Here is a 26,327-nt window from a genome sequence, read left to right as displayed (position 1 = left end):
CCTCATATGCTTCTATGAAGCGTAAGAAACCCTCATAGGTTTCTAAAGATTTAAGGTAAGAATGCATCTTCTATCCATAAGAATTTTCTTAGTCTGTTTTCTGTGGTCATAACAGAATAGACAGGCATAAGGGAGAGTCACCAGAACAGGACACTGAGTAATTTATAAAGAAGAGAGGTTTACTTTGGCTTACAATTCTGGAGGCCTAGGAGTCAAAGATCTGCCCACTATATCTGGTCAGCTTCCAGTGAGGCCTCTGCCATGTCACAGCATGGCAGAGAAGTGGAAAAGGAAGTGAGTGTGCCAAAGGGAGCCAAGGCAAGGAAGAACCTCACTTTGTAACAACCAGCTCTGACAGTTACTAACCGAGTCCTGCTAGACAGAGTGCTTGCTTTGGGATCCGAGATTAGTTCTTCCTCACCCTCGCTGTTTGCGGAGGTGGCAGCTGCTTTCTTAACTGTGTCCAGGTGGTGACTGGCAATGCCTGTGGTGCTGCTGGGGGTAATCTGGTGCACTCAGGATGATCACAGCTCACAGGCCTCCAGGTCAGCCAGGTGCAGAGTGGCAACTCTGAGGTGAGCCCCTATGATTTGGATGTGCTGCTCATGGGCTGCTGCTGGCAGCACCCAGCAGGCATTGTAGGGGGTGGTAAAGCCCTGGAGAAGCCGCACTGTCTCACTGGGAGCATGCAGAGGAACAGGGATGGCAGCAACATGCCCGTTGGTGATTTGGTGACTTTGCTAACGGCATTAGACCGGGGTATGTTGGAGAAGTCTCTTTCCCCAGTTGGCAGACAACAGATAAGCTTTCTGTGGAGAAGATGTACTTGAGCCTTCTTGGTCTATGGGGTCATGATGCCAGGACCTTTGGGGACGAGGAGCTCCTCTCCCACAGCTGAGGCTAGAAACATACCAGCTGGTGGTTGGCTCTTCAAGCCCAGGGTGTCCCCCAGCCTACAGCATTCCTACCACCCTCCTCCTAGAAGCCCACCTTCCTGTGGGACCAGAGTGGTCTTAAAAGTAATTTTGGCAAATTTTACCTGGTGGTGACCTCCAAAACAGAGGCACAAAGTAAAGATAGAAGGCAGCAACACATGTGAAAACAGAACAAAAACTGCCAGACCCACTGTAGAGTGTTCCTCAGACCTCACCCAATCTCTCGATCAGAGCCAGGCCCTGGCCACTCTCCCTTGATCCTCCTGTAGAAATGGGTGTCATCACTCATTGGCTTACTCAAATTTCATCCTCACTGCTAGTTGTGTTCTGAGGTTTTGGGTGGTCCCAGCTAGCCAGCTTCACAAGGGTGATTTATCCCTGTCATCAAAGATGAGTCTTAGACACCATCTAATGCTCAAGTAGTTTATTCCAGCAGTGCTCTTACAAGACAGAAAGCAGGAGCTGGCTGGTGTCATAGGCCGGATATAGTCAGAGGTCAGATGACCAACTGACTAGGAGAGCTTCTATTTGAGGACCGTTCTCAGAGTTTGGGAGATCTTTCCCATTTCTTATACATGTATTCAGTCTGGGTCAATTACCAAGTGTTTCTTTCATAGAGCAAGTTTAATCTAGTAAGGTTAGGCTTTGTTCTAAAATTTATGAAAGTTGCATCTGTGCTGAGGTGGCCTTGTCTTCTGGAAATCCCTAGGCCAGGTTGCATCCTGCTAAGTGACATGTAATATCACCACTGTGAGATGCTTGAGTGGGCCTTATCGCTATCGTTAATCTTAAAGCCATGAGATGTTTCTTGTAGTATACTACAGTTATTAAAATATTCTCTTTCTAAAAAAACTAAATTTTATTTGTGAACTCCTTTCCTATGTATTTAAGTTCCCCGATGTTTTTAACCTAGGAAAAGAATCTAACCAAATGAATCCACTGAAGCTTCCCTTTTAAAGTCCTAAAATATCCTTTGGGGTTGTAAAACAGACTTTCAAAGGGCAGTAAGTAATTTCAAAAGCTTTCTCTTTATCAAGAGAATCAAAAGACAATATGGCAAAAGACAAACAGCTTGGCTCGTGATGCTTTGGCTACTTGTATATCTTCTGACAGAGCAGAAGAAAGAAAGAATGAAGGAAGGAAAGGGAGGGAAGACAAGGAAGGAAGAAAGAAGGGAGAACATAAGAGCAAACAGCAAAATATTAAAAGATTGATTTAAAGTTATTTTTAAATATCCATATAATCTGTCAGTCGATGTGTTTAAATGCAACAGTTACCATTTTTAAAGAAATGGTCTATTTGTCATAATCCTCTTTGTATACTTACTTTTGCTAATACCTATATTTCTAAAGAAAAGCAAAAATTTTTCTTACAAGAAATATGAACACAACTCTATAGTATCACAATGCATAATGGTACCAAGAGACAGAGCCCTCTCTCTCCCGTGAGTTAGATTTAACCTTAGTGAACACAAAATCCTTTATGATCCCACGCTCTCCATTAGGCAATGTCAGAAAACATCCACAGCAAATGCTATAATGCACTTCGAACATGAATAAACATCAAGGCTTAGCTGGTTTTGCTAATGTTTCCTCATGACTCAAAAAACTATATTTTTAAATACAGAGTTCACTTGCTACTTTCACATGAACTTATTTTTAAGAACTAAAACATTACCCTAAAAAGTATTAATAATTTATTAAGCACCACTCTAAAAATTATTTCTGTAGACCTTTTCCACACAAGAAAAAAAATCAACATTATTTGTCTTTTCAGTTCAGAGGTCTCATGGTATTTTTTAAACATACTTAAAAGCATTCCATTTGTGATTTTCATGTACAATGTGAAAGTCTGTCCAAAAGTCATCCAAACCTAGGGTCAATTATACCCTTAGATGCTAGTTTTGTAGCTCACATGCACCTGAGCTGCAGAACCTTAGCAATAATACTCTGGTCTGGAACCTTCACTTTTAAAAGTCACCTGAGATTCCACACTTGACCTAGAACAAAGCAGCAATTTCTCTGAGTCATCCCTGTGGCTTCGTGTCCAGAGCTCACCTACACTTTGAGACCTGGGAAACAGGGTCTCAAATTGGATATAAGTCTCCTTTGCCAAATCATCTTCCCAAAAAGGTTCTGATTTACATTGCAGTTTGCAAACTTTGTACAACAAGAAACAAATCAATGGTAAGATAACAACACAGGCAGTACTGGTCACCACGAGAAGGAGAGACCATTGAGAATCATCTCCTTCAACTCTTTCAGTAGAAAAGGTGATGCATTGGTCTTTCTGGGGAGGCACTCCTTTTGGACAGACACAGGCCATGTATTGCCCACCGGGTTCCAAGCCATCTATGGTTACTTGGTTCTTGCTGGAGTCTGCATTCAACAGCAGCAGGTCCTTCCCACCATACTTGGAATACAACACAGTCACTGCAGAGTTATGTGTGGTGTTGATCATATTCCACGTCAATGTCACACTCTCTTTAGTCTCACTGACCACCCTGAGGTTTTCTATTGCGGCATTTGTCTCCGTAAGCATTGTTTGATCCAACAATGCCAGCTCTTCTTTCTTACTTGTGCTGGCTGGAGGAAGCTTACTTCCATTCTTTGCCACCTTTAAATTTCTTTTCCCACCTTGGTGGAGCTGGAATGATCGCTTGTTGGCCATGGTGGTACTTGCTGAGATGCTTGTGCTCAGAGTTGTGGTTGAAGAAACAGTGGAGGAGGAGAAAGGAGATAAAGAGAAGGAAGCAGTAGAGGGAGGAGACAAAGTAGAAGCAGAAAAAGAAGATGTGGGGGAGAAGGAAGAGGACCAAAGATATGATGATGCGCTAGATACAGATGTAGATCTTCCAGATCCCGGCTGGACATCCCACTCAGGATGATCTCCAGTTCTTTCAGAAGTGTCTGGTGGTATTGGAGTTGTGGTAATGCCAAGCACTGTCACAGTAACCACAGCTTCTGACATCCCAGCCAGATTTTTGGCCTTACATTTGTAATCCCCAGCGTCTTTGGAAGAAATGCCTGTCAAGCTCATTATGGACCATCTGACTCCTTCCTCTGGAGATTCTTGTATTACTGGAAGAAAACAAATGTATAGTCTGTGAGGAACAAAAAGAAAATTCAAGCCACCATGCCAACTGAGGAGGAAACAACTATCCACTCTACATGCATCCTCTCACAGAAGCCAAGAGGGAAATGGCACCCTGCAAGTCTCTGACAGTGGGTGATAGTTCTGCAAACTGCTTACATCAAGGTCTAGGACCTGCCAGGTGTTGTGAGGTCTGTACAGGGAATAGTATTTTTAAAAGACAAAAGGCTGGGAATCAGGACACTTGGGTTTTAGAAACTTTTGCCCACTAAACAGTGTTTGGTTGTAGATAAGTCAATTCATATCTTTAGGCTTCTGTTTCTGCATTTATAAAATAAGAGGATGAGACGAAGTAATCTCAAAGGTCCCTTTCAATTTTAAGTCACTGTGATTCTATGGAATGTTTTTCATAAGATCTTACTTAAGTATTTCTTATTATATGTTTTCATGGTAATAAAATGCATATATCTCTATAGCCAGAGGTACAGCAGATCATTTTCTGGCATGGCAGAGTCATCATTTGTATTCCGAATAATTTATTTTATATTTAACTTAGGTAAACTGGCAAATCAAGGATTCTTTTGTTTGCAAATAACATATAGTTTTTTAAAAAATCAGAATTTTGCTATCCTAAACTCTGATATCTGGGTATATTTTCATTCTTCCTTGATTTCAGAAGCTTTTCAAAGAATAATAATAATGCGCAGAACAGTAGCCCAGTAGCCCAAAACTTAACTCACTAGCTGAAACTGTGGACCATTGACTACCTATATATAGGAACATTAGGCCTTAACTTCTTTATTTCCATCAGGTTTCATTATTTCAACCTGAATTTTAGTTTAATATTGAAGAGTTTTAAAAATATATCACTTTAATTGTCAGAATATCACTCTTGAAATTGGGCACAAAGCATACACATTGTCACACTAGGATCTGAAAAGTCTATATAATCAATATTTCTAAAAATTATACTTTTTGATTCATAATAAGGTGTCCATGTAATTTATTATTTAAATAATTATTCAAAAATGAGAGACTTGTACAAAAGCCCCCCGTCCTTTTTTTTTTTTTTTTTTTTTTAAGACAGTCTTACTCTGCAGTGGTGCGATCTTAACTCACTGCAACCTCCACCCCCCAAATTCAAGCAATTCTCCTGCCTCAGCCTCCTGAGTAGCTGGGATTACAGGTGCACACTACCAAGCCCAGCTGATTTTTGTATTTTTAGTAGAGACGGAGTTTTGCCATGTTGGCCAGGCTGGTCTCAAACTCCTGACCTCAGGTGATCCACCCACCTCGGCCTCCCAAAGTGCTGGGATTACAGGTGTGAGCCACCGCACCCAACCAGCAAAAGGCCCTTTTTAAAAAATTGTAAAGGCTGTACATTTTGAAGTAAGCTGTATCCAAGTTGATGAAGCAAGACAAAGACCTTGTCTGCCATTGATCCATCCACTGCATTGTTTCATTCTACCTAAGAAAAAGAGTTTAGATTGTTTAATTTTATCTAGGTAGTTAGATAAACTGAGGAGAATACTAATGAATAAAATGTACCTTTAAAATCCCTTGCACCCAATAATCTTGAAATATTTTATTAGTGTTAACTAGCTAATTTCAAATCACACAACACATGATGTTAACTTCAAAGCTTAGTAAACTCCTTTGATCATGGGGCTGAATTAAGAAAATACCTGTATAATTAACTGGCGAGCTGTCAGATCTGGTCCATGTGATCTGTGGGGTGGGGAAGCCAGTGGCATCACACCGCAGTAGAACATTACTGCCCAGAGCAGACATGATTTTGGTGGCTGAGGTCATCACTGATGGTTTCAGACAATGCTCCAATTCAGCCCGCTGAAACAAAATTCCTGTGAGGCGCTCAGGTTCACTGCAAGTCATCAGTGGATCCAGAAGCACTATAGCAGGGTCAACGACCTTTGACAACTCAATCATTTTGGAAATATGACAGTCACAGAACCAAGGATTGTCCTGTAGACCTAAAACAGAAGGTGGGAAAGGTTGACAAAGATTATTCTGATGACTTCAGTTTACATCCTGCCTCTTGAGAAAGTAGGGATCTACACTGTCTCCCTATAAACAGAAGTGCTTTGAGGGATGAAGCAGAGTCACCTTTATGTCAGTTTTGCTCTGCAATCCAGCAATCTCGGTGAACATATCCTGTCCATTAGTTCAGATCATTAATAATCATGGCTAATACTTATTGAGCATTCACTCTGTGCTAGATTATGTACTAAGCACTTACCTGTATTATCACATGTAATCTCAATAATCCTATGAGAAAATGATATTATTATTCCTATGTTAAAGATGAAGCTCAGACTTCATCTATCCCTATGTTAAAGATGAGGCCTCAGAGGGACCCAATAACTTGGCCAAGGTCACAAAGCTAATTAGTGTCAGAGCCAAGACTTTAATCCAGGTACCATAGAATGCCATAATACAGTAATAAAGATCTTTCAAAGGTGCTATGAAAGTACTTACAGTATTGTAAGTATTATAGGGTGCTCAGAGACACCTAACTCAACCTGGAATAGGTTATGGTTTTATGTGATTTGAAGGTATATTGAGGTAATGCAAGCTTTGTGTGGCAAAAGATATAGAGTGAGATGCTGGCAATGGCAGTAGAGAAGTCTAGAAAGACTGGTGGAAGCAAGAACATGGCTTGGCATGAATGTCATATATGGTGACCATGAAGGTGACTTGCTCAATACTCCCTTCAAGAGAGAATCAGCTGCAAGCAATGCGGTTAGCGGACAGCTTCCAGTTGCAAGCATCTTCAGGATGTCTCACTTTCAGAATTGTTAGCAGAAGCCTTTGGGCCTTCAGGAAGGCTATCAGTGAGGGCTTGAAGAAAAGTGAGGAAAATGTTGCTGGAAACTAGAGGAAAGAGGATCCTTGCTACTGAGTAGCAAAAAGTTTAGCAGCACTGTCACCTGTGGTCCACATGGAAAATCAAAAACATACTCAATGCAATGTGGTCTACCTAAGGATAGTTCCACAAAGAGTATTGAAACTACTCCCTGGTGTGTTTTAGGTAATAAAATATAAAGGAGAGGCAACAGTTAAAGAAGAACTGTTAAATATAAAGGAATCGAAATTTGCTGAGTTCAATTAAAAAATTGTTTCTTATTCTCGGCCTCTCCAAAATTCTCAAATTAAGATAGAACTTCAGAGCAAACATCGAATCCAGGCGTGACTGTAAAATTTTGTGCTAAAATCTCAGAAGGATCTAAGATGGAGCTTTAGAGCATTCTGTCAGGCAAAAGTCTCTCTAGGATCTTAGGGGTGATGTTCCATAACAGCCTCATATAAAGCCCAAGATAGAAAAAAATTTGTCACAGAGATTTGTGGTTATAGCTTTTTACTAATGGAGTGGATTATAAATTGAGAAGAAAAGACGAAACTGCAATTTTACAAATTCTAACCATGCTGGAAATGTAACTGTTAGTTCATAAATTCTATATTTTTATTATACTTTTTAAAAATTATAATAGCAAGTCATGACTGGCTCGTATTTTTCTGCCAGGATTGGTAAAAGTTTACTTTTTCATCTCCTGTTTTAGAAGTATGCTTTTCTTCCATGGGTGAATAACTTTAAACTTTTCCTCTTATATTTAATCTTGTTAATCTATACCTAGTTATTGAATCAATATTAATTTGAATTCTATTCTCTTAACTGTTGGCTCTTTCATCCAATTTTATATGGTAAGCAGACTTTCTAGTTTATTTTATATTGCTATGATTAAGTGTGGCTCTGGAACCTAACGTCTGGGCTGAAATCTTGGTTCTGTCAAGCTTCACCCCCATGAGATATCTATAATAACAACCTCTCTCAGCCTCATCTATAGAATGCAGTAGTTCTTTCATAGAGTTGCATGAATTTTTAATTACATAATTCATGGAAATTACTTTGAACAATGGTTTATTCATAGTGACCTTTAACCTTTCTTGCTAAACATAGTACTTAAAATCTTTTGTAAAATATAGTCATTTCAATCTCTGAATAAGTAACAAATTTCATTCACACAAAACATATTCCCTATACTAGAGTCCATATTTTCTTGATCTTAACAAAAGAAACCAAATGTAATACAATCTGTATGTCTACTAAGAAAGAATTCAAAACAAGTACATAAGTAATGGTGGAGATATGATCTGATAGATACCAAAACACCTATAATAATGTAGTCAGTTCATAGACATTCAAAAACCCATTTCACCACCAGATACCACATTAGATATTCAGTCATTATTGTACGTATTAGTTGACCTGATATGTGAAGGCCAGATTTAAATATATGAAAGAGAAATTTTAAAAGTAATAGGAAATGACATTCTCACCAACTTTACTGTGCCTGGGTTCCTGATGAGGCTCAACCATTAGTTAATTCTGTGACCTGGGTGATGCAACCTTGCTGAGCCTGTTTTCTCATCGGCAAAATGGGAGAGTTGACTAGATAAATGCTAGAGCTTTTTACAGCCGTAACGTTCTATCAGCCTATAAAATAAAAATAATGATCATAGACTAAAAGAAACCAAAGATGGAACAACAAACTAACACTAAAATCCATCATCACTCAGTAAAAAGCAGAAGAATATGATAGAATGCCTAATTTGTAACATTTTTATCTCTATTGATTGAGGTGCTAAAGATAATCTGTGGATCTAGACTCTCCTAATAGTGCTATTTTTAAATCTTTCAAGTTTGTGACTTTTCTATGTCTACATTGATACACAGTTCAAATGTGAATATCATACAAAGTGAAGCCAGTTTATGAACTTTGACTACAATACAGACTAAAAGTAGTCAATTCTCCTTTTATAAACAATATAACTGATTTTACTTATTAAAATGGAGGGGAGGGGGAATCATGAACCTCTTCCAAAGGCTGAAATCCTTTCAGTAGTTTATTTTACTTTGTACATGTATTTTTCACATTAACCAGTTTTGCCTTATATACATGTAAATGTTATTATAAAGAACTAAATTTGGAATTAGATTGTTAGACTGTGACCCACACAGTTTAACAAATTAATCAGGTCAGTTTGTGTATAATGTGCCAATAACCTCTACAAAAAGTTATAAAAGATTAAAAATGTTGCTATCAGTTGGTATTGTCAGCATTGTGAGCTGTAGTTTGCAAGAAATCAATGAATAAATATATGGCTTGCCTCTCACAAATAATTAAATCTCAAAGTGAGGATCCAATCACATGTCTGCTCCCTGAGTGAAAGAGAAAACCAGCAAAGAGAAGAGCACAGGATGCAAACTGGCAAGTGTCCTCTAGGGCAAAGGGATGTTATCATAGTGCCTAAGAGGAGGAAAGGGGATATTTTAAGTTAGATAAAAACAATCAAAAGATTTAGAAAGGAACATGTAAACACCCACCTTAATATAGTAAGAATTCATAAATAGAATGATACTAAAACATTTATATTGAAATAAAAGGTTACTTATATTTTATATCTATAAATTTGTGTCAAAATTTATATATAAAAGCTATGCTCATCATAGCTATTTTATTATTTAATTTTAAGATTAATTTCTAAATCTGCCAGCACATCAAATTTATTCAGTTATATAATATGTATAGACTATTTCATAGTTTGAAAACACTTCAACTTATGCCAGATTTTTTTCTTTATGTAATACTACCAATGCAAGTTACAAGTTTTGATTGCTTCCTATGTGGCAAAGACCGTGCTTCTCCAAAACTGCAGAGGCTCTGAGATTTGACCCTACTTTAGGGTGACCAACCTATTCCAGTTTGCCAGCAACTCATTTCAGTTTGCCCAGGACTTTCTTGCTTTTAGCACTGAGAGGTCCACATTCTGGGAAACTTCTCAGATATGGGCAAGTTTGCCTGCCATCGTTTTATGGATGTTGGTAGAAGACACAAGACTCCTGCTCAGGGTTGAAGGAGCTCATTGCTCACAGCACTGAAGGGAGACATCTTTATTATACTGGGTAGTAAGCATGCTTACCCTTTGCTCTGGAAGGAGATATATTTCTACCTCCAAAGCTGTTCTCTTGAAAAGATAGTGCAGAATAAAAGGTAATCCTTGAAAAGATAGTGCAGAATAAAAGGTAATCAATGTCTGCCTCTGCTCACAAGACATGCAGAGATTCAGGAGATCAAAGAACAACGGCACTAAGCGTCTGAAGGATGGACTGACTCAATCCTCACAAAAGCATGGGATAGGTAGTACTATTATCATCCCCATTTTAAAGATGAGAAAACCAAGGTTCAGGAAGCTTAAGGAATCTGCCCAGGGTCACACAATTGGACAGCCAGGATTTGAACTTCAGTATCCTGATCTTAAACCACCATGCTGGTTAAAGGTTTTAACCACCCACCACAGTGGTTAAAGCTCTTAACCGCCATGTTATGCCTTCTACCACCTCTGGAATCTGGTATTATTCTTCCAGTTTTACACCAAAGGAAGCCAAAGCACAAAGATATTACTATCTTGACTTTGTAAATGGCTTAGAATCCTACATCCCAGATTTTTTTAGCATCCTAATCTAATACCCTTTCTATCATAACTCATCTCTTTGCCATCTAAAAACATTTAGAGTCATAGTGACAGTCATAAGCGCTATTATTTACAAATAAAAAAATGTCCAGGCACAATGGCTCACACCTGTAATCCCAACACTTTGTGAGGCTGAGGTGGGAAGATTGCTTGAGGTCAGGAGTTCAAGGCCAGCCTGTGCAACATGGCAAGATCCTGTCTCTACAAAAAATACAAAAATACAAAAATTAGCCAGGTATGGTGGCGGCACTTGCCTGTTGTCCCAGCTACCAGGAGGCTGAGTTGAGGGGATCAACTGAGCCCAGGAGTCATGGTTTGTGCCACTGCACTCCAGCCTGGGTGACAAAGTGAGATACTCTTTCAAAATAAAATAAAATTTAAAAATGTTAAAGCAGCAATATCTGGAGTATAAATGTTTACACAGGGAAAGATTTAAGAGCTATACAATGTTAACAATTTATTTCATGCTTTGAAATTATTAAAAAATGTATTAATGGTGAAAGAAAATTCTTTAAAAAATTAATTTCACTGGTTATATATAAAAGTTATGTAAATATTTTTAAATCCTTCAAAAATAAAATGTCTATTTACTCCAGCTTGAAACTTCTAAGGTCAAAGGTACAATTTTTAAAACCTGAATAAAAATAGTGATCCAAGAACTGAATATATTTAAGTGTTTTTTTCTTCTGAGGACAAAGGAAAGAGAACTCTCTCAAGTTAAACTGTTACTTGCACTGCATTCCTTCAAGGCAATACATCAACTACAATTACACTAATTTGCATTAATTAGTTTACTTTATATAACTATTCTTGGATGGGACAAGTGAACTTTATCCTTTCTAAAAGAATAGTATTTATATGCATCAGAATAGTTGGACTAAATGCGCTATTTTTGTGTGAAAAGTGAGCAATAAATTTTTGTACAAAAGTTATTCTGAGGACTATAAGCCCTTGAAGGCAAAGACTATGCCTACTCAGCTTTGTGGAGACAACCATGTTTAACAATTCAGTAGGGAAAGGAACGTCTTTTTAATGAATGGTGCTGGAACAAGTGGACACGTGTTTGCAAGCATATGAACCTCAACCCCTACTTTACACAATACTCCAAAACTATTTTGAGATGGATAATAGCTATAAGCCTAAGAGCTAAGAATATACAGCTAAAAATTGAGTATAAAGGCTAAAACTATAAGAAAATATCATATCTGTGATTTTGAGGTAGGCAAACATGTTTTAGATGATACACAGAAAGCACTAACTGTAAAAGGAAAAAACTAATGAATCAAATGTCATCAAAATGTAAACCTTTTTTTACTAAAGACACCAGGAAAAAATAAATAGGCAAGTCAGCCTTGGAGAAAATATTCACAGTGCATATAACAGACAAAAGACTTATATTCAATAAAGAAAAGACAAATAGCCCTTAAAAATTAAGCAAAAGATAGTTCATAAAGGAAGATATACAGTGACCCATAAGCAAATGAAAATCTGGCCAACACCATTAATAATCAGGGAAATGGAAATTAAAAACACATTGTGATACCGCTTCCTGACCCACCCACCCCCCAGAATAGCTGAAATGAAAAAGACCAACAACATTAAGTGTTGGTGAGGATATGGAGCAACCAGACTGTCATGCAGTGCTAGTGGGAATGTATAATGTTATACAGTCTCTTTGGAAAACAGGAAGTTTCCTTAAAAGTTATACATATAGCCATTCTTTTTCTCTTTTTTTTTTTTTCCACCCAGGATGTAGTGCAGTGACGTGATCTCAATTCACTGCAACATCTGCCTCCCAGGTTTCTCCTACCTCACCTGAGTAGCTGGGACTATAGGCATGCACCACCACACCTGGCTAATTTTTGTATTTTTTAGTAGAGGCAGGGTTTCGCCACATTGACCAGGCTGGTCTCAAACTCCTGACTAAAAGTGATCTGCCTGCCTTCGCCTCCCAAAGTGTTGGGATTACAGGAGTGAGCCATGGCCCCCAGCCATATAGCCATTCTATAATCCAGCAATTTCAATTCTAGGAATTTATCCAAGATAATGAAATGAAAACATGTGCCACAAAAAGCTTTGTACAAGAATGTTAATTGCAGCTTAATTTATTATGGCCCCAAACTCGAAACACCCATGTGTCCAACATCAGGAGAAAGGATGAACAATTGCTTCATTCATACAATTGAATACAATTTTGCAATAATGAACTACCAATACATGCGACAGCATGGATGATTTTCAAAAACATGATGCTGAGTGAAAGAAGCCTGGCACAAAGGTTCATCTTATATGATTCCATTTACATAACATTCTAGAGCAGGCACAATTAACCTATAGTGATGAAAATTCAAATAGGTGAGGCAAGATTGACTGGAAAGAAACACAGAACTTTCTGAGGTCATGGAAATATTCTGTATCTTGATGATGGTGTAAGTTATGTAAGGGTATACATTTATCAGAATTTAACAAACTGTAGACTTACAATCCTGCATTCCACCTATACAAAGTATACCTTAATGTCTCCATTAAAAACAAGGTTTTAAAAAGTAAAGAGTGATGTCTTTGGAGATTAACTGTAAATTTGAAACTTGACTCTGCCAGCTATAGAAAGAGGGTGAGGATTAGAGCACCCAGCAAGGCATAAACCTTACCTATGTGGATTTGTTTCCTCAAACCAAAAAAGGGTGGGGCACATCTACAGAGATTGATAAGTGTTTTTTGAACTAAATTAACACCATTTTAGAAAAGTCTGGAAATACTAGGGCTGCCACCATCCTTCAGGCAAACTCCATTTCAAATAGGAAAAGAGCCCATGTTTACAATTCAGCAAATTTGGGTACAAGTAAAACAACACCCCCAAAAAAAAAGCATTTTATGTTTTATTCTACCACAGGCCTTTTTCTCTGAGACAAACAGTGTCAGGACTTACAGAATATGCCTGTGTAAATATTTACTTAATCTTAAGAAACAGGCCATGGAAATTTACCTGCATTGCAAAACAAAACCTGGTTTTATAGTTAATTCCAATGTTTATTTGCAGGGCAATAGTTTAAGTATTCATGGATACAATAAAGGACAATTTTACTAAGTTGATGTTTTTACTCCTGTAGAAGAGAAAGAGTAATTGAAAAGCCTCACCTTATGTAGGGAGACCCCTTGAAACTATTGCTATGGAATAAAAGATGAAATGCTCCTGATTATTGTAAGTACAAAATTGCATGCAGGATTGTGTAAGGACAATGCCAGGCTGGACTGCCAGAATGAGCCAACATGCGTGATGTGCTTCCCCCTGCAGAGAGCCTATGAATGGATGTGCAGTCAGGGAGGTTTCACATCACTAAGATTCCTATCCCAGAAAAGCAGATGTTCATAGCTCTGGGAATGGAATGTGACCCTTGTGGAGAGCCTATAAACGGATGCATGAGGTGCACCTGTCCATATGCATAAGATAGGGCTATAAACACCCTCATCTTGCCATGGCTCTTCTAGGCCTCTTTAGGGCATACTTCCTTCTGAGAATTTCTGGTCTAACCGGTTGTCTAGCTTCACGTCCTGTTTCTATGGATTGTTTGTAACCAGCTTTTGCTGCAACTGTTACTGCTGATTAATATCTTGCTAATCATAGGTTATGAAAAGACTGTGTTTCTGTTTTAAGGCTCTGTTAGAAATTACTGATGCACACACTATATTGTAAATTCTTATCTCTGTATACTGTACTTCTGCATACAGATGTTATGTTAAAGAATTACTTCATCCCCATGTGACCATCTCACACACACAATCAAATGACCCTAAATCCCTCACTAACCTACCCCCACCCTCACTAAACTTAATAATAAATGCTGGTATATCTAGTGCATTGGTGGCACCGTGGGACCAGAAGGTGGTGACCCCCCTGGATCCAGCTTTCACTATCTTGTGTGTGTCTATTATTTTTTGACCTGCTGATCTGCCTGGGAACAAAAGAAAGAGCCCCATTGCATTGTGGTTTGCTGGCCAGATCCCGCAATATCTGGCACCCATCTTTTGGAAAATTAGCTTATGTGCATGTCACAGTTGACACCTTTTCCAATTTCATCTGGGCTACCTGTCAAACCAGAGAAGCCACTTCTTATGTTAAAAAACATATGTTTTCATGTTTTGCGGTTATGGGAATTCCTAGTGAGCTCAAAACAGACAATGGTCCAGCCTATTGCAGTAAAGCTTTTAAAAATTTTCTTGATCAGTGGCATATTAAACATATTACTGGTATTCCTTATAACCCACAAGGCCAAGCTATTGTAGAAAGAAGTAACAGAACTTTAAAATTACAATTACTTAAACAAAAAGAGGGGGATAAGGAGTCTACCCCTCACATACAACTAAACTTGGCATTGCTCACATTAAATTTTCTTAATATTCCTAAATCTAGTTCTGTTACTGCTGTCGAAAAACATTTCTCTGGTAACCGTCCCATGGTAAACCAAGGAAGGGAAGTATGGTGGAAAGATGTTCAATCTAATATATGGTCAAAAGTTTCTATTTTAATGTGGGGAAGAGTCTACGCTTGTGTTTCCCCAGGTGAACATCAATCTCCTGTTTAGATTACTGCTAGACACCTGAAATTGTGTCCTGAAGATGCATGCAACAACGAGACAGAGAAATTTGCTGAAAAAATGCCACAGCAGGAAACAACTAACACATCCAATTGTCAAAAAAGAAGAAAATGACCATGCTAACTCCTTTACAACAGACAATCCAGTCAGCCATCCTGAACAACTTGTCTCCAGCGATCCAGGTCCAGCTCAACCTCTGCCTCCTCCTGATGACATTGCTCCTTCTACCCTCTGTCACTCTATAGACTGTTAAAAACTATACATATTGGGCCTATATTCCTTTTCCTCCTCTTATTCGAGCCATGACATGGATGGACGCTCCTACTGAGGTCTATGTTAATGATAGTATTTGGATGCCTGGTTCTGTAGATGATCGTTGTCCTGCCCAACCTTCAGAAGAAGGAACCCCTTTCAATATCACTTTAGGTTTTAGGTATCCACCTTTGTGCCTGAGACCCACTAATGGATGTTTCTCATTAGATATTCAAACCTTGGAGGTCACACTACCATCTGGTCACTCTGTCCCTCCTTTAGGACACTTGGTATCAGGGCTCTCATTAAAACCTCTAAGACAGATCAAAATAGGAATCGCTGATTATATTCACACATCCCAATATAAGCCTTTAGGACCTGTGTGTCCTCTCAACTTGTCTTCAAATGCTGACAAATTAATATGGAAGGATTGTGTTAGTTCAGAAGGAACTGTGTTATTTAATTCTTCTCACTACACCATTGTTGACTGGGCTCCTAAAGGTCATATTACTAATGATTGCTCTCAAGGCCACAGAGATTGTCAACATTTTCTCTATGATATTACTTATCAAAAAAGTAGTGACAACCCTTCCCTATTATATCATAGATTTAACTCCTTTTTTCCTTTAAAGTGGAAAGGGGCAGGGATTGCCCCTCCAAAGCCAAGGCTTGTTGTTCCCCACTTAGGACCTGAACATTCAGAATTATGGAGATTAACCATAGCTATGATTGGTATGAGAGTTTGGGCTGGAGAAAGGGTTATAAGTAAATCCACCTTGTCACCTTGAAAACTAAGACAACAGATTGATTTACACTACTATTTCCACACAGCCAAAAATATCACTATGGCAATCATCAAAAGGTCAATTCAAAGATGGGACAGTAAAGATTATGAGGACTTATACCCCCCTGTTGCTAATGTCCCCCTGCCACCTCTCATACAACCTATTCCCCCCACCCCACATTCACAAAAAAGAGTACCATCCCAAAATATATATACTATCTATATGGAGTCCAACAAAACTATACCACTTAAAAGTTGTGTTAAACCACCATATATGTTATTAGTAGGAAAGATGCATATTAGTTCAAAAACCAACATAATTACCTGTGTTAATTGTTACTTGTATACTTGTATTGACTCATCCTTTAATCAATATCATAGTATTTTAATAGTCAGAGCCAGAGAAGGTAGTTGGCTCCCTGTAGCCTTACATAGGCCTTGGAAATCTTCCTCTTCTATCGATGTTATTAATAATATTCTAAAGAAAATTCTTAAAAGGAGTAAACGATTTATTTTTACATTAATTGCAGTAATAATGGGCTTGATTGCTGTTACGGTGACTGCTGCTACTGCTGGAGTTGCATTACATCAATCTATTCAAACTGCTCATTTTGCGGATAAATGGCAAAAAAATTCTATTTGAATGTGGAATTCTCAGTCAGGTATTGATCAAAAATTGGCCAATCAAATTAATGATCTAAGACAAACTATTATATGGATGGGAGATAGAATTAAGAGTTTAGAACACGGATTACAAATGCAATGTGATTGGAATATTTCTGATTTTTGTATAGCTCCGTTCCAATATAATGAGTCTGTTCACAATTGGGAATCAGTAAAACGCCATTTACAAGGAAGTGAAGATAATTTGAGTTTAGACATAAGCAAGCTAAAAGAAAAGATTTTTGAGGCCTCTCAAGCACACTTAACTTCTTTACCCAGTGATGAAGTTTTAGATGGTATCTCTGAGGGGTTATCTAATCTCAACCCCATTCAATGAGTAAAATCTTTGGGAGGATCCACTATCGGTAATTTTGTTCTGTGTATAATTTGTGCTATTGGTTTATTGTTCATGTGTAAAATTGGAAAAAATATTATTCAATCCAATCATGATCAGCGCCAAGCTATGATTGCTATGGTTCATTTAAATCAGAGAAAATGAGGAGATGTAGGGAGACCCCCTGAAACTATTGCTATGGAATAAAAGATGAAATGCTTCTGATAATTGTAAGTACAAAATTGCATGCAGGATTGTGTAAAGACAATGCCAGGTTGGACTGCCAGAATGAGCCAACAGTGTGTAATGTGCTTCCCCCTGCAGAGAGCCTATGAATGGATGTGCAGTCAGGGAGGTTTCACATCACCAAGATTCCTATCTCAGAAAAGCAGATGTTCATAATTCTGGGAATGGAATGCGACCCTTGTGGAGAGCCTATAAATGGATGCATGAGGGGTGCCTGTTCATATGGATAAGATAGGGCTATAAACGCCCTCATCTTGCCACAGCTCTTCTAGGCCTCTTTAGGGTGAAGGCATACAAACTGTCTCTCAGACTACAGTGCAATCAAACTAGAACTCAGGATTAAGAAACTCACTCAAAACCACTCAACTACATGGAAACTGGACAACCTGCTCCTTAATGACTACAGGGTACATAACAAAATGAAGGCAGAAATAAAGATGTTCTTTGAAACCAATGAGAACAAAGACAGAACATACCAGAATCTCTGGGACACATTTAAAGCAGTGTGTAGAGCGAAATTTATAGCACTACATGCCCACAAGAGAAAGCAGGAAAGATCTAAAATTGACACCCTAACATCACAATTAAAAGAACTAGAGAAGCAAGAGCAAACACATTCAAAAGCTAGCAGAAGGCAAGAAATTACTAAGATCAGAGCAGAACTGAAGGAGATAGAGACAGAAAAAACCCTTCAAAATATCAGTGAATCCAGGAGCTGGTTTTTTGAAAGGATCAACAAAATTGATAGACCGCTAGCAAGACTAATAAAGAAGAAAAGAGAGAAGAATCAAATAGACTCAATAAAAAATGATAAAGGGATATAACCACTGATCCCAAAGAAATACAAACTACCATCAGAGAATACTATAAACACCTCTACACAAATAAACTAGAAAATCTAGAAGAAATGGATAAATTCCTGGACACATACACCCTCCCAATACTAAACCAGGAAGAAGTTGAATCCCTGAATAGACAAATAACAAGTTCTGAAATTGAGGCAGTAATTAAATAGCCTACCAACCAAAAACAGCCCAGGACCAGATGGATTCACAGCTGAATTCTACCAGAGGTACCAGAGGTACAAAGAAAGAAAAAAAGAAAAACAGGAATTCATTTTATGAGGCCAGCATCATCCTGCTACCAAAACCTGGCAGAGACACCACAAAAAAAGAAAATTTCAGGCCAATATCCCTGATGAACATTGACATGAAAATCCTCAATAAAATACTGGAAAACTGAATCCAGCAGCACATCAAAAAGCTTATCCACCACAATCAAGTTGGCTTCATCCCTGGGATGCAACGCTTGTTCAACATATGCAAATCAATAAATGTAATCCATCACATAAACAGAACCAGTGACAAAAAGCACATGATTATCTCAATAGTCGCAGAAAAGGCCTTCTATAAAATTCAACACCCTTTCATGCTAAAAACTCTCAATAAACTAGGTATTGATGGAATGTATCTCAAAATAATATGAGCTATTTACGACAAACCCACAGCCAATATCATACTGAATGGGCAAAAGCTGGAAGCATTCCCTCTGAAAACCGGCACAAGACAAGGATGTCCTCTCTCACCACTCCTATTCAACACAGTATTGGAAGCTCTGGCCAGGGCAATCAGGCAAAAGAAATAAAGGGTATTCAAATAGGAAGAGAGGAAGTCAAATTGTCTCTGTTTGCAGATGACATGATTGTATATTTAGAAAACCCCATCATCTTAGCCAAAGCTGAAAAGCAACTTCAGCAAAGTCTCAGGATACAAAATCAATGTGCTAAAATCACAAGCATTTCTATACACCAATAATAGACAAACAGAGCCAAATCATGAGTGAATTCCCATTCACAATTGGTAAAAAGAGAATAAAATACCTAGGAATACAATTAACAAGGGATGTGAAGGATCTCTTTAAGGAGAACTAAAAACCACTGCTCAAGGAAATAAAAGAAGATATAAACAAATGGAAAAACATTCCATGCTCATGGATAGGAAGAATCAATATTGTGAAAATGGCCATACTGCCCAAAGTAATTTATAGATTCAATGCTAACCCCATCAAGCTACCATTGACTTTCTTCACAGAATTAGGAAAAACTACTACTTTAAATTTCATATGGGACCAAAAAAGAGCCCATATAGCCAAGACAGTCCTAAGCAAAAAACAAAGCTGGAGGCATCACGCTACCTGACTTCAAAATATACTACAAGGCTACAGTAACCAAAACAGCACAGTACTGATACCAAAACAGATATATAGACAAATGGAACAGAACAGAGGTCTCAGAAATAACACCACACATTTACAACCATCTGATCTTTGACAAACCTGACAAAACAAGCAATGGGGAAAGGATTCTCTATTTAATAAATGGGGTTGGGAAAACTGGCTAGCCATATGCAGAAAACTGAAACTGCACCCTTTCCTTACACCTTATTAACTCAAGATGGATTAAAGACTTAAATGTAAGACCTAAAATCATAAAAAACCCTAGAAGAAAACCTAGGCAATACCATTCAGGACATAGGCATGGGTAAAGACTTCATGACTAAAACACCAAAAAGCAATGGCAACAAAAGCCAAAATTGACAAATGGGATCTAATTAAACTAAAGAACTTCTGCACAGCAAAAGAAACTATCATCAAAGTGATGAACAGACAACCTACAGAATGGGAGAAAATGTTTGCAATCTATCCACCTGACAAAGGGATAATATCCAGAATCTACAAGGAACTTAAACAAATTTACAAGAAAAAAGAAAAACAAACAACTCCATCAAAAAGTGGGCAGAGGATATGAACAGACACTTCTCAAAAGAAGACATTTATGCAACCAACAAACATATGAAAAAAAAGCTCATCATCACTGGTTATTAGAGAAATGCAAATCAAAACCACAATGAGATGTAATCTCATGCCAGTTAGAATGGCGATCATTAAAAAGTCAGGAAACAACAGACGCTGGAGAGGATGTGGAGAAATAGGAACGTTTTTACACTGTTGGTGGGAGTATAAATTAGTTCAATCATTGTGGAAGACAGTGTGGCAATTCCTCAAGGACCTAGAACCAGAAATACCATTTGACCCAGCAATCTCATTACTGGGTATATACCCAAAGGATTATAAATCATTCTAGTATAAAGACACATGCACATGTATGTTTATTGCAGCACTATTCACAATAGCAAAGACTTCGAACCAAATGCCCATCAGTGATAGACTGCATAAAGAAAATGTGCCATGTACACACCATGGAATACTATGCAGCCATAAAAAGCATGAGTTCATGTCCTTTGCAGGGACATGAATGAAAGTGGAAACCATCATTCTCAGCAAACTAACACAGAAACAGAAAACCAAACACTGCATGTTCTCACTCATAAGTGGGAGTTGAAAAATGAGAACACATGGACACAGGGAGGGGAACATCACACACTGGGGCCTGTTGTGGGGTAGGGGTCTAGGGGAGGGATAGCATTAGGAGAAATACCTAATGTAGATGACAAGTTGATGGGTGCAGCAAGCCACCATGGCATGTTTATACCTATGTAACAAACCTACAAGTTCTGCACATAAAGTATAATAATAATAATAATAAAAAGAACCAGAGAAATACACATAGAACCTAAACAAGACCAAGTTCAAAATTCCAAAACTAGTCACAGCTAAACTAAGAGACCAAATCAGTTAGGAGAACCATTTGGGGCCAGTAAAATAACTGGTGTTTCCACCATTTCTTTTTAGATTAAGGAAATTTAGAAGCTATTCTTCCTAACTAATGAAGCCACTGCTATCGCATAAAGATGCCAGTGCCCCTCTCCTGCTCCTGAAGAACCTAATGAAGAGTTGAAAAGCAAACTGAGCAGAACTTTGTACCAGAGTATGGAGCAATGCTGTGCTCACAAGAGTCTATGCAGTTGGTTGATTCTGTCTCTCAGCTGGATGCTCTTTAAGAGAAATGGTCCTCTCTCCATTTATGATGCAAGTTCTTCTCCACTTTTCCACACATGTATGTACACACATGCATGCACACACACACAGCTCTTACACCTTACACAGGAGAAAGGGTAACTTGACCTAGGTTAACTAATAAGGTACTATTCCAGTAAAAGTGCAATTACAGAGTAAAAAGCCAAATCCAACAAATTTTAAAAGACTGGACAAAAAAAGCTATGCATAGCAAAGTAACTATAGATGAAAAGCCCAGAGGCTTGCGAGCTTACCAAGAATAATCCTGCTTGGGGAAAGGTCCAGGACTCCAGAAGGTGTTGAAACTAAATGAGTCCAGCTCTCCAGGAAATCTGGTGGCAATGTGGTGAGTCTGTTGCTTGATAAATCCAAGTAGGCAAGGTTCTTCAGATACCTGAGCGCCTCATTTGGCACACTGGTTATTTTGTTATTGTGCAAGTCCAGGGTCCTCAGAAGGGGCATGTCCAGCAGAGATGCCCAAGGGAAAGCAGCCAGAGAATTCCCATCCAAGCGCAACTCATGCAGTTGCTTCAGGTTGTAAAAGCTGCTGGGGTCAATGCTGGCCACGGAATTGTAAGTCACCCAGAGATACTGGAGCTCCACCAGGTAATAGAAGGCCTCCGCAGAGATTCTGCGGATGACAGTCTTCTCTATGCGAAGCTTCACAGTGTCCACGGGGAGGTTCGTAGGCAGCTCGTTCATATCCATGTCATTACATAGCACCAACCTAGTGTCACAACATGAACAATGTGAGGAAACTCACTTTCCAACACCCATTTGAAAAAAATACTTCTCATTTGAAAAATGTATCAATTTTCAGCTGGGCAGTGGCTCACGCCTGTAATCCCAGCACTTTGGGAGGCCGAGGAGGGCCTTGGTTCAAATCTAACCAAGGTCTAAGGTTTGCCACCTCCTCTGTGGCCATGGAAAACCACTTCACCAGTGTCTCAACCTCATTTTCCCATATGGCACTGTTATGGATGATTAATTACAATGGATGTAAAACTCTACAACTTCCTGGCACAGAATAGGTACTCAGTAGGTATTTGCTGCTACTGTCAACAACCTCGGTTTTACATGGAAAGTAACTGAGGCCCACCAACATTCAGTAACTTTCCAAGGTCACCCAGCTAGTGGGTTTCACAGCCACCTTTCAAAACCACTTCTGTCCAACTTAAAGTGCACCTCTTTAGGAAATGGCCCATTTTAAAAGAACCCCCTGTTAAAATAATAAATCAATCCTTGTTCAGAGAATAATTTATTTAGGTGAAAAAAAAAAGTGTTCACAGTACATGTTTAAAGTTGAACTCTGTTTTAATAACGTGACTTGCACATTGCTTTCTGCCTAAGGAATAAACCAGAAATTAGGAGTTGACCTTGAGCAAGTCACATTTTGATCTTGTTTGTTGGCACATATAAAACAGGCATAGAAAAACAACACTGGGCAATGTCCCAGCTGGGCAATGTGGCTCATGGCTGTAATCCCAGCACTTTGGGAGGTCAAGGTGGGCAGATCACCTGAGGTCAGATGTTTGAGACCAGCCTGGCCAACATGACGAAACCCCGACTCCACTAAAAATACAAAAATTAGCCAGGCGCGGTGGTAGGTACCTGTAATCCTACCTACTCAGGAGGCGGAGGTGGGAGAATCGCTTGAACCTGGGAGGCAGAGGTTGCAGTCAGCCAAGATCACGCCACTGCACTCCAGCCTGGGTGACAGAGCGAGACTCCATCTCAAAATAGAAAAGAAAGAAAGAAAGAAAGAAAGAAAGAAAGAAAGAAAGAAAGAAAGAAAGAAAGAAAGAAAGGAAGGAAGGAAGGAAGGAAGGAAGGAAGGAAGGAAGGAAGGAAGGAAGGAAGGAAGGAAGGAAGGAAGACAACACTGTCCCATGTGTAAATTTAAAGTATGAGGAATCTGAGAATTTAGATTCATTTTAGCCTGGAAAAAGACTTATCTCCTATGAGATACTCATCTGAATTATGAAAAATGAACAATAAGAAGTTTTGCAAAGTATCATCTAAATTATAGCACACTATAAATTTAGTAAATAATTACAATAAAATAACCCTTTAGTGAAACATATGACATTAAATCAGTGGATTTGAAAAACCAGCTCATAATGTATACACACGTAAGCAGCATAAAGCTGCAATGTAGTGGTAGTGTTATGTCCTTTCTATAACTTCAGGAAAAGACCTCATGGAATCTTTGAAATCCTCTAGGGATATCTCTTACTTTTCATCTCTATTTTATATCACAGATTTCAGTACTACTTTATACCAGAATGGTAGCAGTTTCTACTCATTAAGAAAGTATTGGCCGGGTGCGGTGGCTCACGCCTGTAATCCCAGCACTTTGGGAGGCCGAGGTGCGTGGATTACCTGAGGTCAGGAGTTTGAGACCAGCCTGGCCAACATGATGAAACCCCATCTCTACTAAAAATACAAAAACTAGCTGGGCATGGTGGCACACGCCTGTAATCCCAGCTCCTTGGGAGGCTGAGGCAGGAGAATTGCTTGAGCCCGGGAGATGGAGGTTGCAGTGAGCCGAGATTGTGCCACTGCACTCCAGCCTGGCTGACAAAGTGAGACTCTGTCTCAAAATAAATAAATAAATAAAATAAGTATCTCAGCATGCTATCATAGAAGAAAGTCTAGTTTGTACGCTAAAAGATCTAGCATCTTTATGAACTTAGTTACTACATCAACACAATTATATGATCTAGGACAAGTCATTTGGTCTCCATACAGTTTAGTTTCTTCACTTATAAACTGACAAGGGGTTGAACTAGATTATTTCTTGCCAGGCCTAATATTCTATAATTTTTATAAAATCCATCAATAATGGGGTCACCACAAAGAAGGAAACATTTCTGTGATAGTTTCTCAAAAGTACCCTGGCCTGATCCTTCACTGCTACACGTCCCTGGACAAGTAGGTCTTTAACTTGCTACATTCTCTTCATTGTCTTTAACCACCCAGTGAATATCTCAAAAAATACCAAGAATTGGTTAACTAAAGTTTATACAATAACAAGATAAGCTTTTCACAAATATGTCTTATTTATTATTATTTATTTGTTTAAAGTTATAAGACATAAATTGGGCAACTCTTTTAACAAATTATTTTATCTGAGACACCGTTTACTTCAACCAAGTCACAAATAACCTGATTTTGTTATTAAATAACCTCTCAAAAAAAAAATTCAAGTTCTACTGTGTTTAGCTAGCAAGAGTTCTGTTTTGCATTTAACATATCTAAAAGGCCTCATGCACAATATAAGTAAATAACTCTTCTCACTACACAAGTAGATGCTAAAGCAACCTAGAGATTGAATAACTTCTGTGAGATCCTGCAGTGTCTGAAACAGACAGTATCTTTTTCAATCTTCTTTATTTTGTAAATTCCATCAGCTTAAAATGAAAAATTCTAACTATTAACCTCTCTAACTTCACTCTTGAGATCTTTCTTTCTGCCATTCAATTGGCATGAATAGTTCTCAAAGGAAGTGGAGAGCCATGAAAGCAAAGGATCTGAGCATGTCACGCAGCTCCTGTTCAGCCTGCCCTCTTAGCCTTTCTATAATCAAGGGCTTAGCTGGCCATGCACCTTTAAATCGTTTGATCTCAAGCAACAATTTGTGAACATGAGCATAATAAAAATTTTGGAACATAGAATGTGTTTAGAAATTTCCAATACCTTGAGAGGCCTTTGAGAGTTAAACTGCTCAAAACGAAAACAGTGAAGGAGTAGGTGACCAGTGTTAAAACAATTAAGTTAAAGCTTATGGACACTAAACATTCTCTTCTGTGATTTCTGATCCCCAAACATTTGCTTTCAAAAGTAGGCTTTCTTGTTTGGGTCCTTTTTGTCAAAATAATGAGAACACTTAGTAACAAGCAGAGGAGCATACCTTGATCCTGAGCCGTCATTTCTGCCGTGATAATCACAGGTGCACTGTGAAGGACACAAACAGCCCACTCCTTCCAAAAAGCTAAGGACAATGCACAGACATGCAAAGAGATGCATTGCTCCTTTTAGAGGTTATTTAAACAAAAGGTAAAAACCGAATCCTAAGCATTCAGAACCTGGTATGCCTGGAATACAAACAGCCATTTAGTAACAGCAGATTACACGGGATTAGCTGAGATCTGTAGTTACTTAACCTTCAAGTGTATCTTGCAGGAGATCAATTGATCCAGCCTTTGAATACAGTTTCAGCAAAGTAACACATTCTAAGGAAAATGAAAATCAAACACATGACAAGCAATTTCAATAGTTACCCGTAACTAGATTTGCAAGAAAATGCCTATTAAATCCCTTTCTTCTGGATGTACTTGCCACTACACCTTAAAAATATACTTAATGTAAAATAATTCAGTCTTGGCAGATGCAAGAAAATTCTGTAGATTATTTACATGTTACAACATTATAAAATGTTTTGCATTTGGTTTTTGCCAGAATGTGTTACTAATTCAGTTTTACAAAATTTAGTTTTAAAAATAGAAGCACATGACATAAAAATGATTTAGAAAAGAGTTATCGATGTTGCCACATACTGGCTATCTCTAAAAGTAAAGTAAAACAAGTCAGTTACACAGATTTTATAGGGAAAATGCTTCAATCCACTACTGATGTGGCAGGACTAAGTTCTCCAATAAGAACGTGTTCTGAGACTCTTCCAGGTCATCTCAGTGTGTGGAAGGTTTATCCCAGCACATTTATTTTTAATGCAGGCAACTATCTCTGTTCAATAGTTTCCCAAGTTATCAGCATCAAAGCCATATTTGAAGATCAACTCTAATTCTTTCAGCTATATTAGGCTCTGTCAGAAAATAAAAATTAAATGTAATTAAATTTAAAAGTATCTCCACACTCATAGAGTGGAGAATCCACAG

The 26,327-nt window shown here is 38.4% G+C and overlaps 1 protein-coding gene across 3 annotated transcripts; it reads right to left on the bottom strand.

The window, feature by feature from the left end:
- LRIT3 (leucine rich repeat, Ig-like and transmembrane domains 3) lies at window positions 1,345-25,553 on the bottom strand. Of its 3 annotated transcripts, NM_198506.5 has the most exons (4): window positions 25,343-25,553; window positions 21,684-22,156; window positions 5,714-6,019; window positions 1,345-4,015 (listed from the first exon to the last, which is right to left on the bottom strand). In NM_198506.5, the coding sequence occupies exons 1-4, from the start codon at window positions 25,456-25,458 to the stop codon at window positions 2,871-2,873; spliced, it is 2,040 nt and encodes a 679-aa protein (NP_940908.3). In that variant the 5' UTR covers window positions 25,459-25,553; the 3' UTR covers window positions 1,345-2,870. The 3 variants fall into 3 exon arrangements, with proteins under 3 accessions (NP_940908.3, XP_016863656.1, XP_016863657.1); XM_017008167.2 differs by lacking the exons at window positions 21,684-22,156; window positions 25,343-25,553 and adding an exon at window positions 8,385-8,801; XM_017008168.2 differs by lacking the exons at window positions 1,345-4,015; window positions 5,714-6,019 and adding an exon at window positions 8,426-8,541.

The sequence above is a fragment of the Homo sapiens genome, chromosome 4, assembly GCF_000001405.40.
Source record: "Homo sapiens chromosome 4, GRCh38.p14 Primary Assembly".
Lineage (NCBI taxonomy): Eukaryota > Metazoa > Chordata > Mammalia > Primates > Hominidae > Homo > Homo sapiens.
Note: the sequence above shows the minus strand (reverse complement) of the source record. Positions and strands in the feature narration are given on the sequence as shown.